The sequence below is a fragment of the Homo sapiens genome, chromosome 19, assembly GCF_000001405.40.
Source record: "Homo sapiens chromosome 19, GRCh38.p14 Primary Assembly".
In the NCBI taxonomy this organism is placed as follows: domain Eukaryota; kingdom Metazoa; phylum Chordata; class Mammalia; order Primates; family Hominidae; genus Homo; species Homo sapiens.
Window position 1 is genome coordinate 37,359,102 of NC_000019.10, and position 11,703 is coordinate 37,370,804.

Here is an 11,703-nt window from a genome sequence, read left to right on the forward strand (position 1 = left end):
GTTGGTCAGGCTGGTCTCAAACTTCCGACCTCAGGTGATCCGCCACCTCAGCCTTCCAAAGTGCTGGGATTACAGGCGTGAACCGCCGCACCTGGCCTGTGTGTGTACAGTTCAATAATTTTTAGTAAACTTATAGAGTTATATGATTGTCACCTCTATTCAACATTTCTGTCACACCAGAAAGTTCTCATGTGCCCATTTGCATTCATCCGTCCTCCCATCAGAGGAAACCATTGATTTGTTTACTGTCTATAGATTTGCTGTTTCTAGACGTATAAGAATGGCATTGTGAAATATATAGTCTTTTCTTTTTTTTTTTTTTAGATGGAGCCTTGCTCTGTTGCCAGGCTGGAATACAGTGGTGTTATATCGGCTCACTGCAACCTCTGCCTCCTGGGTTCAAGCAATTCCCCTGCCTCAGCCTCCTGAGTAGCTGGGACTACAGGTGCACACCACCACACCTGGCTAATTTTTTGTATTTTAGTAGAGACGGGGTTTCACCATGTTGGCCAGGATGGTCTCAATCTCCTGACCTTGTGATCCACCCGCCTCAGCCTCCCAAAGTGCTGGGATTACAGGCATGAGCCACCATGCCTGGCCCTTTTCATTGTTTATTAACCATTTGCATATCTTTTTTAGTAAAATGCCTATTCAATTCTTTTCTTTATTTTAAAATTAGATTGTGTTCTTATTGAATTGTAAGAATTTTTAGTATATTCTAGACACAAGTCCTATATCAATATAGGATTTTCAGATATTTCTCCCTGTCTGTGGCTTATCTTTTCATTTTCTCAATGGTGTCATTTCAGGCACAAAAGTTTTAAATGCTGATTAAGTTTAACTTACCAATTTTTAAAATGGGTTGTGCTTTTGGTGTTGTAACTAAGAACTTTATTCTTAACTCAAGGTTATGAAGATTTTCTTCACTGGTTTCTTCTAGAAGTTTTACAGTTTTAGCTCTTACATTTAGAGCTACAATCCATTTTAGTTAATTTTTATGTATCAAATGAGGTGAAAATCTAAATTCATTTTCTTGCATATGAATATTCAGTTGTCCTTACAATCTCATATAAAGAGTATCCTTCCTCCCATTGAATTACCTTGGCACCTTTATCAAAAATCAGCTGACTGTGAATCTAAGTGTTCATTTCTAGTCTCCTGATTTTGTTCCATGATCTCCATCTTCCTCCTATGACAGTAGCACACTATCTTCATTACTGTAGCTTTATATTAAGTTTTGAAGTTAGAAGTATACACTCCCCAACTTTATTTTCTTTTTCAGAAATTGTTTTGTCTATTTTATGTCCTTTGAATTTCAATGTAAGTTTTAGGATCAGATTGTGAATTTCCAAAAGGGAAAAAAACCAAAAGCCTGCTGTGGTTGTGATACCATGATTATGTTGAATCTGCAGATAAATTTTGGTGAGAATCACCATCTTAATAATAGTAAGCCTTCCAATCTATGACTGTCTCCCTATTTATTTGGAGCTTTAACTTCATTCAACAATGTTTGTTAATTTTCTTTTTAAAAATCTTTCTTCTTTTCCTCCTTTCCTTTCCTTTTCTCTTTCTCTTCTCTTTCTTTCATCCCACTATGTTGCCCAAACTGGCCTCTAACTTCTGGCCTCAAGCAATCCTCCCACCTCAGCCTCCTTAAGTGTTGGGATTACAGGCATGAGCCACCGTGCCCAGCCTTAATTTTCAGTTTACAAACTTTGTGCTACTTTGTCACATTTATTCCTTAGCATTTTATTATTTTTATGCTATCGTGAATAGTATTGTTTTCTCAGTTTCATTTTTAGAATAGTCATTGCTAGTATATAGAAATATAATTATTTTTTATATATTTATCTTATATGACCTAAGTACAATTATGACTTCTAGTTGCTTTTTTGAAATTTTATGCTTACAAAATTATATAATCTGTGAACAAGAGATTTTTTTTACTTCTTCCTTTCTAGTTAAGATGCCTTTCATTTATTTTCTCCTCATTTTGTTTGTCTTCTCCTTTTTTTTTTTTTTTTTTTTGAGACAGAGTCTCACTGTGTCACCAGGCTGGAGTGTGGTGGCACGATCTCAGCTCACTGCAACGTCCGCCTCCGGGGTTCAAGCGATTCTCCTGCCTCAGCCTCCCAAGTAGCCGAGACTACATGTGTGTGCTACCATAGCCAGCTAATTTTTCTATTTTTAGTGGAGACAGGGTTTCGCCATGTTGGCCAGGATGGTCTCAATCTCTTGACCTCGTGATCTGCCCGCCTCGGCTTCCCAAAGTGTTGGGACTACAGGCGTCATAAGTTTTTGAGAACACGTGCAATATTTGCCACTTCTTCTTTCTTCTTCTCCTTTTCCTTCTCCTCCTCCTCCTCCTTCTTCTTCCTTCCTTTCTCTTTCTCTTTTCTGTGTCTCCCTCTTTTGAATTCAACCCCTTAAAAAGGTAAAAACCATTTTTAGCTGGCAGGCCATACAGAAACAGGTTTCAGGCTGGATTTGGCCTGTCAGGTGAGTTTGCCAACTCCTGCAATAGAAAATGTAATGCATAGGGCTAGACACAGTGGCTTATGCCTGTAATCCCAGCACTTTGGGAGGCTTAGGCTGACCTGAGGTCAGGAGTTCAAGACCAGCCTGGCAAACACGGTAAAACTCTGTCTCTACTAAAAATACAAAAATTAGCTGGGCGTAGTCTTGGACGCCTGTAATCCCAGCTACTCGGGAGGCTAAGGCAGGAGAATCGCTTGAACCCTGGAGGCGGAGGTTGCAGTGAGCTGAGATCGCACCACTGCACTCCAGCTTGGGTGAAAGAAAGACTCCGTTTAAAAAAAAAAACAAAAAAACAAAAGAAAGTGTAATGCATGAAGTGAAATGAAAAATAGATGCTGGGAAGGATGTCTAACTGGGAGATAGCTTGTGATGTAAATATGTAAATATATTATGAATGACCAGTGGGCAAGGCAAAATTGCCTACACAGCCCTACCTATGGCCCCTCTGAAAATGTTCTTTCTTCAGCAGAATCGAAGCCAGAAATTCAACTTAGTCCCTCCTGCCCTCTGATTTTCTCCAGTCAGCAAGCTCTCAGCCAACATGTGTGGCTGAGTCATCTCTCTCAGCTGTTTTCAAGTTTATGGGCAGGAAATCCTCTCCACCTGGGAAAACACTATCCAGAAGATCAGAAACAACAGCAGGATCCATTCTGCTTTAGTGGCAAAGCAGAATGGATTCAAGAGGGAGAAGACTCCAGACTCCTGTTTGGGAGAGTAAGCAAAAATGGCACTTCAAAGGCACTTTCCAGCCCACCTGAAGAACAACAGCCAGCACAGTCCAAGGAAGACAACACAGTGGTGGATATAGGGTCCAGCCCTGAACGGAGGGCAGATCTAGAGGAAACAGACAAAGTATTGCATGGTTTAGAAGTCTCAGGATTTGGAGAAATCAAATATGAAGAGTTTGGGCCAGGCTTTATCAAGGAGTCAAACCTCCTTAGCCTCCAGAAGACACAAACTGGGGAGACACCTTACATGTACACTGAGTGGGGAGACAGCTTTGGCAGTATGTCAGTCCTCATCAAAAACCCAAGGACACACTCTGGGGGAAAGCCTTATGTGTGCAGGGAATGTGGGCGAGGCTTTACGTGGAAGTCAAACCTGATCACACATCAGAGGACACACTCAGGGGAGAAACCTTATGTGTGCAAGGATTGTGGACGAGGCTTTACTTGGAAGTCGAACCTCTTTACACATCAGCGGACACACTCAGGGCTCAAGCCTTATGTGTGCAAGGAATGTGGGCAGAGCTTTAGCCTGAAGTCAAACCTCATTACCCACCAGAGGGCGCACACTGGGGAGAAGCCTTATGTTTGCAGGGAATGTGGGCGTGGCTTTCGCCAGCATTCACACCTGGTCAGACACAAGAGGACACATTCAGGAGAGAAGCCTTACATTTGCAGGGAGTGTGAGCAAGGCTTTAGCCAGAAGTCACACCTCATCAGACACTTAAGGACACACACAGGAGAGAAGCCTTATGTATGCACAGAATGTGGGCGTCACTTTAGCTGGAAATCAAACCTCAAAACACACCAGAGGACACACTCAGGGGTTAAACCTTATGTCTGCCTGGAGTGCGGGCAGTGCTTTAGCCTGAAGTCAAACCTTAACAAACACCAGAGGTCACACACGGGGGAGAAGCCATTTGTATGTACGGAGTGTGGGCGAGGCTTTACCCGGAAATCAACCCTGAGCACGCACCAGAGGACACACTCAGGGGAGAAGCCATTTGTATGTGCTGAGTGTGGACGAGGCTTTAATGATAAGTCCACCCTCATTTCACACCAGAGGACACATTCAGGGGAAAAGCCTTTTATGTGCAGGGAGTGTGGCAGAAGGTTTCGGCAGAAGCCTAACCTGTTTAGGCACAAGAGGGCACACTCAGGTGCCTTTGTGTGCAGGGAGTGTGGGCAAGGCTTTTGTGCTAAGTTAACTCTCATTAAACACCAGAGAGCACACGCAGGGGGGAAGCCTCATGTGTGCAGGGAGTGTGGGCAAGGCTTTAGCCGGCAGTCACACCTCATTAGACACCAGAGGACACATTCAGGAGAGAAGCCTTATATTTGCAGAAAGTGTGGACGGGGCTTTAGTCGGAAGTCCAACCTTATCAGACATCAGAGGACACACTCAGGATAGAAACTTTATGTGTATAGGGAATGTGGTACAGCCTTTAGCCAGGAGTCATACTTCATCAGACACCAGAGGACACACACAGTGCTGTGGCTTTTTCAGCCATTGCTAGATACCAAAGTGGAGACATTCTGTGTGTGATTATGCATGAGACTGTACTGGTAAGACTTGTATCTCCATCCACCTGAAGGAGAATTGCTGGCTCATTTTCAGGAGCCCTGCCCTTCCTCACTGTGGATGGTGGGTTGTGGAAACCCGGTCAGGTAATGATAGTGGCAGGAGGCAGTCAAATGCCCAGGCAGATAGGGGTGGGTACCTGGTGAAACCCAACCTTAAAGCTGAAGACAGTCCCGGCTAAATCCTCATACTGAATTGAGAACCTGTCTTCCCATTTGGTGTGCTTTCCTCCGATTGATCCCAACCCTTCACCTATTTTACGTATACCTGCCCTTTCCTAATTGGTTTTTACACTGCTGTGCCCACCTTTTGAGTGGTGCCTTTGCATACTTACAAATCAGTCAACGTGTATTCCCCTATTCTGAGCCCATAAAAGACCCAGACTCAGCTGCAGTGAGGAGAGAAATCACCCTGCTGTGGGGGTTGGGGACCACTCCCTGCATCCCCTCTCCACTGAGAGCTGTTCTTTTGCTCAATAAAATTCTTTTCTACCCATCCTCACCCTTCAATTGTCAGTGTATCCTCATTCTTTTTGGACTCAGGACAAGCGCTCAGAACCACTAAACATGGGTATAAGCTATAATACAGGCAGGCCAAGAGGGCAGGGCACCTCCAGCAGCAGGCCCAGGGCTAAGTGAGATCCAGGCAGAGGGCTGTCGCTGGCTGTGGAGGTCCTCAGTTGGCAATGTGGCTGAGAAAATTCCTGTGTCAGTAACTTGACGGAGAAAGTACTTTTAAATGGGTTGAAATTAGGAAATGAATACTATTCCAGTGTCATTTTACAGGTACACTGGAACATTCCTTCCACTGTACCCTGGATGTTACAGAAACTATTGCGGGAATGAAGGAGGACCAGAGAGACCATGGGGTGAGACAGGAGGATTTATTTATTTATTTTTTTGAGACAGAGTCTCGCTCTGTCACCCAGGCTGGAGTGCAGTGGCGCGATCTCGGCTCACTGCAGGCTCCGCCCCCCAGGTTCACGCCATTCTTCTGCCTCAGCCTCCCGAGGAGCTGGGACTACAAGTGCCTGCCACCTCACCCGGCTAATTTTTTGTATTTTTAGTAGAGATGGGGTTTCACTGTGTTAGCCAGGATGGTCTCGATCTCCTGACCTCATGATCCGCCCGCCTCAGCCTCCCAAAGTGCTGGGATTACAGGCATGAGCCACCGCGCCCAGCCGACAGGAGGATTTATTGAGTGCACTCAGACCCAGAGGATTAACATCCAAAAACTGGGCCCAGAACAAAGACAGCATTTGACTTTTATACACACTTCTCAAAGTGGGTGGGCTAACTTGAAACAAGCTTACAGTGGTGCAAAACGTAGTGGTGCAAAAGCCAGGATACAGAGGCAGAGCAAAGGCAGTTAATCAAATTGTGACAGGTGTATAACTCAGGATTACATATGACCCTTGCTTATGCAGCCCAGATGGCTGTTATCTAGGCTTGCTCAAAAGAGCCTTGCATGGGCTTATCTCATAACCTTTGCTATGGTGCCCAGATGGCTGCAGCCCAGGCCTGCCTCAGGCATGTCTTAAAACTTTCACTGTGCTGCTTAGATAAAACAGAATACTTGAAGTTAACTAGTTACAGAAAACAGGAATCTATAACCTCATAAAACTTGCAGAGCAAGGTACAATCACACGGAGGGAGGTGGGATTCGAGGGGGATCTTTACTTTTTCTTATCCTTATGTTGAGGGAGTGCTGGGAGAGTCTCCAGAGCACATTCCTTCAAGCCTTTGCTTCTTTGATAATGTTATCGAGACCTCGCCTGGGTCCAGGCTTTGCCTGCTACCGCCTTTAGGATGAGTCAGCCTAGTATGGAAAGCTTATTTTTCTCTTTTTAAATTTTATTTTCTTCTTTCTCTAATTTCTGCCTCAAGACAACAATACTAGAGCTTGTCTTTTGATGTCCATCTGTCCTAACTGGGAACAAGAGACTTGGAAGACACCGTGGCTGATTTACTATGTGTTCCCCAGACCATGACCCCACAGAGTCAGCCTCAGGGGAGAGTTTGGGGAATGGTTAATTCATGGAGACAGGGATAGTCCATGGGTAGAAGAGGGTTTTATTATATCTAGGTGACTGCAAGTATCCTAGCTCTAGGTTTTAGGAAGAGGTCCATTTTTAAAAATAACTTTGCTTAAGCCTTTTGGGGTTTTGTCTGGTTTCTGGGTTGAATCCACATTGAAGATATTTTTATTGACTGATGTATTTAGACTAGAAGTGTATTGTTGTTTTATTTATAAAACACACAATATGCAGAAATAGAAAATGAAATTAATTTCTATTCTCCTTTGAATTACCAAACAACATCCTACAGGTAATTCTTGAGTTTAAATATTTCCAACCATTGTAAAATGTACCATTCTTCTGGTTGGGAACATATATTTTTTAATGGCAGTGTTCAACAAATTAACTTTAAATACTAGGTTAGGTCCCAGTTTGTTTGTTTTTTGTTTTTTTTCATGGAACTAGACTGAATGATTCTGAATTTTATTTGGAAAATAAAATTTCCAAGAATCATTAGGAAAATATAGAAACTATATAGTAACATGTCTTGTTCATATATAAGTTTTTAGAATAGCTCTTTAGAACCATATTTTAAAAAACAGAAAAACAAACCCATCCATATATGAGCATTTTGAATGCGATAAAGCAGGATTTCAAATCAGCGTGAAAATGGCAATCGTAAGATTCAGTGTTTGTGTTGTTGGCTATCAATTTAGGGAAAAAATAAATGTAGATTTATTTGTTTATCCAAAGGAGTTACAGTTAGGGCATCACTGTCCAAAATGGTAAGAGATGTTAGGATCTTAATTTTTGTTCAACATCTAAGTGAGTGAGTAGAGTTAGAAGATCTGGTAAAAAATTATGAAGTATTATCCTAGGTGGAGTACTTGGCATGGCTGGCTTTTCCCAGCCCTCCCCCATGGCAATTCATGGGCTGGCTTTCATACTTCTTAACAGAAAAATACTTTGAGGCCGGGTACAGTGTCTCACACCTGTAATCCCAGCACTTTGGGAGGCCAAGGCAGGCAGATCACAAGGTCAGGAGTTTGAGGCCAGCCTGGCCAATATGGTGAAACCCCATCTCTACTAAAAATACAAAAATTAGCCAAGCGTGGTGGTGGGTACCTCTAGTCCCAGCTACTCAGGAGGCTGAGGCGGGAGAATCGCTTGAACCTGGGAGGCGGGGGTTACTGTGAGCTGAGATCACACCACTGCACTCCAGCTTGGGTAACAGAGCGAGACTCCATCTCAAAAAAAAAAAAAAAAAAACTTTTTGAGATAAACTATTTTATAATAGTTTAAAAACTATTGAGTTTTAATCCCCTAGAGTCTTAGAATTTAATTATTCTCTTCCATAAAATTGTGTCACAAAACGATTTCAAAGTTAAACATGTTCTTTTTGTGTTTAACTTTTAGAAAGAATATCACAGCTTTCAATTTATTTTTATTTTATTTAAAGACCAGTGTGGCTGGGTGTGGTAGATCACACCTGTAATCCCAACATTTTGGGAGACTGGGGCGTGTGGATCACTTGAGGCCAGGAGTTCGAGACCAGCCTGGACAACATGGTGAAACCCCATCTCTACTAAAAATACAGAAATTAGCCAGGCCGTGATGGTGCATGGCTGTAATACCCACTACTCAGGAGGAGAATCGCTTGAGCCCAGGAGGCGGAGATTGCAGTGAGCTGAGATTGGCCACTGCATTCCAGCCTGGGCGACAGAGTGAGACTGTCTCAAAAATAATAATAAAGAACAGTGTGATAGTATACAGCTTTCAATTTAATTCATCCATATAACTAAGATTTTGTCTTAAATTGTTAAAAATTCTTAGCAAAAAATAGAACAGATGCTACCTGAAGACTTAAATATATTTAAAAAGATACAAACCCCAGGATATGGTTTCTATGGAGCCACGCAAAGAGAACAGGAATTGTAAGAAAGGGGTAGAAGGCTACATTCTATCCTTTGGCCCAGCCCCAGCCCCAACCGTGTTGATTGTTAAACTCACATTAGGCCCTCTGCTCAGAACCTCTCAGGAGAGAAAATTGAGGCAGATAACCTGAGCTGTCCACCTGGGCCTGGCCTGGTACTAAAATCTGTGTGCAAATTTGGAACCTGATTAGGAGGCAAGCACCACAAAGTATTCAGTTATGTGGCTTCTTCTGAGTCTGGTGTTTTGATGATTTTCCAGTCTGTCTAGAAAGCCATTCACTAGTGCTTTATCTTTCCCATCCTGAGATGACAGCTCTAGATGTTTAAAACCAACAGAAACCTGTCCCAGAGTAACCACTGTCCATCCTACCATTCTCACGGTAAGTAGTAGACTACACTACACAAAGAAAATTTTGAAGAACAGATGGTAAACAGTATGAGACAATATCACCTCAAATCCACAAGTCTGTTAGGGTCACCATTAAAATGTTCAATTTTAAAAGAGGTCATAGTAAGTTTTTATTTGTTTATTTATTTTTAAATTTTTATTTATTTTTATTGAGATGGAGTCGCACTCTGTCACCCAGGCTGGAGTGCAGTGGTGCGATCTTGGCTCACCACAACTTCCGCCTTCCAGGTTCAACTGATTCTCCTGCCTCAGCCTCCTGAGTAGCTAGAATTACAGGTGCATACCACCATGCCCAGCTAATTTTTGTATTTTTAGTAGAGACAGGGTTTCCCCATGTTGGCTAGGCTGGTCTCGAGTCCTGACTTCAGGTGATCCACCTGCCTCGGCCTCCCAGAGTGCTGGGATTACAGGCCTGAGCCACCACGCCTGATCTAAGTAAGTTTTTAAATAGCTATTTCATTTAATTCTAATTATTATGTAACAGTGGTTATCTAAGTGTGGTCAGATAATGTTTGGGGGCCAGGCACAGTGGCTCATGCTTGTAATCCCAGCCCTTTGGGAGGCTGAGGCGGGCGGATCACTTGGGGTCAGGAGTTCGAGACCAGTCTGGCCAACATGACAAAACCTCGTCTCTACTAAAAATACAAAAATTAGCCGGGCATGGTGGCGCACACCTGTAACCCCAGCTACTCGGGGGCTGAGGCAGGAGAGTCACTTGAACCCGGGAGGTGGAGGTTGCGGTGAGCCGAGATTGCACCACTGCACTCCAGCCTGGGCAACAGAGCAAGCAAGACTCTGTCTCAAAAAAAAAAAAAAAAAAAAAAAAGAGACCCGAAAGAATGAAAAACAAAAGTATTTCATTCTGGAACTAGACACAGAATGAAGACATTGTGTGAGGACCTGAGCTGCTGCAGCTACCTTGCAACCACATAAAGCAACACTGCCAATACATTGAGGACTGCAGAGCAGGAGGAAGGATTCTTGCTACAATTGGTCACCTGCTAAGCCAACTGAACTTCTTGCTAAGTGGGGAAATAAATATCTTTACTGTATAAGCTACTTTCAGTTGAGCATATAACTGTATAACTTCCTATTAAAAGCATCTTAATTGAAATTCCCAAATTCGTATCTCTAGTACCAACATTTCACTGAGCTCCACACACATATATCTAAATGCCTACTTGATATCACTCTTTTGAAATCCAACAAGCATCTGCGACTTAACATGATACCTCACCACCCACCCCATCCTAGATAACTGCCACATACTCATTTTCCCCTATCTTAGTAAATAACACTACCATTTTTCCAGGGGCTCAAGACATTTAGGCATTATATTGAACTTCTCTCTTTCCCTATATTCACAACCAAGCATCAGCAACTTCTGTTAGTTCTACACTCAAACTGTATCCCAATCTGACAATTTCTCATTGCCTCTTCCAGTGATGACCCTAATTCAAACCACCATCATCATAAGACCATTGGTCTCCAAAATAGTTTATACATAAATGAGCCTGTCATTGACATGTAGAGACCTGGGTCAACAGTACAGATGGAGGTCCCCAGCCAGTCCCCTTCTGTTCCCACTGCCATCCTTGTCCCACATCGTAAGAGGTCTTCTATTCCCACATGTGGACACTCCAGCTTGCATATCTAAGCTCTGTCTAGCCTTACCAAATTGCTCTCATTTGGCCACATTTTGTGGATAGGCAGCACATTCCACCTTTGGAAGACAGATCAAGGGAAGGGTCTTTGGACACAGAGGAGATACAGGCTCTGGAAGCAGGCTGGAGTCCATTTGAACAGGAAATCCTGGGGATTTGGATACCCAGAGCATGGTCTGAAAGAAGGTTGTGAGATCTTTGCAGGCATGTTTCTGCCTATGGACTTTCACCAGGAAGGAAACTGCTTGACTAGAGGAGGGCCAAAGTGTGGCCTTTTGTATGTTTAATAATATTAAAATGTTAAATATATTATTTTGACCAATTGAGAAATAATAATAATAATAAAATAGGCCGGGTGCGATGGCTCATGCCTGTAACCCCAGCACTTGGGGAGGCCGAGGCAGGTGGATCACAAGTTCAGGAGATGAAGACCATCCTGGCCAACATGGTGAAACCCCATCCCTACTAAAAATACAAAAATTAGCTGGGCGTGGTGGCAGGTGCCTGTAATCCCAGCTCCTCAGGAGGCTGAGGCAAGAGAATCGCTTGAACCCGGGAGGCGGAGGTTGCAGTGAGCGCCGAGATTGCCTCAATAAAAGATACCACAGACCCCGCCCATGGCAGGAGATGGGGGTGAAGGAACAGTAAGACCAGGAGACAGTCAGATACACATCGGATCAGTGGTATCCTCACAGTAACAGAAACGGTCACCCCCAATGTCAGCCACAGTCTCTTTCATCCACAATCACTTTCACATTCAGCTACCCACAATCACGGGACGTGATTTAAAATACAGAAGCTCCCTGCACTGACAAAATCCGCCGCTCCTTTCGT

General features: G+C 43.3%; 1 protein-coding gene across 70 annotated transcripts in view, besides 3 other annotated features; it reads left to right on the forward strand.

The window, feature by feature from the left end:
• The window catches only part of ZNF875 (zinc finger protein 875), a 51,619-nt gene extending 46,265 nt beyond the window's left edge, over positions 1-5,354 (forward strand). For 27 of the 70 annotated variants that reach the window (NR_138110.2, NR_138107.2, NR_138121.2 and 24 more), the window contains one exon: positions 3,005-5,346. Coding sequence is in view for 42 of the 70 variants with exons in the window: in XM_047438683.1 (XP_047294639.1) it covers positions 3,005-4,674 (1,670 nt within the window). In the remaining 28 variants the exon portion in view is untranslated. Of the gene's footprint in view, positions 1-324; positions 676-3,004 lie in introns of those variants that run through there. The other 43 variants (NR_138103.2, NR_138108.2, NR_138105.2 and 40 more) reach the window with 6 other exon arrangements.
• Positions 6,333-6,533: a silencer, noted in NCBI's record as "peak3463 fragment used in MPRA reporter construct". NCBI's record gives its function as "represses an SCP1 promoter by STARR-seq MPRAs in K562 erythroleukemia cells {active_cell/tissue: K562}" and the evidence as "EXISTENCE:reporter gene assay evidence [ECO:0000049][PMID:32103011]".
• Positions 11,368-11,507: an enhancer, noted in NCBI's record as "active region_14544". NCBI's record gives its function as "activates an Ori minimal core promoter by ATAC-STARR-seq in GM12878 lymphoblastoid cells {active_cell/tissue: GM12878}" and the evidence as "EXISTENCE:reporter gene assay evidence [ECO:0000049][PMID:35858748]".
• Positions 11,528-11,577: an enhancer, noted in NCBI's record as "active region_14545". NCBI's record gives its function as "activates an Ori minimal core promoter by ATAC-STARR-seq in GM12878 lymphoblastoid cells {active_cell/tissue: GM12878}" and the evidence as "EXISTENCE:reporter gene assay evidence [ECO:0000049][PMID:35858748]".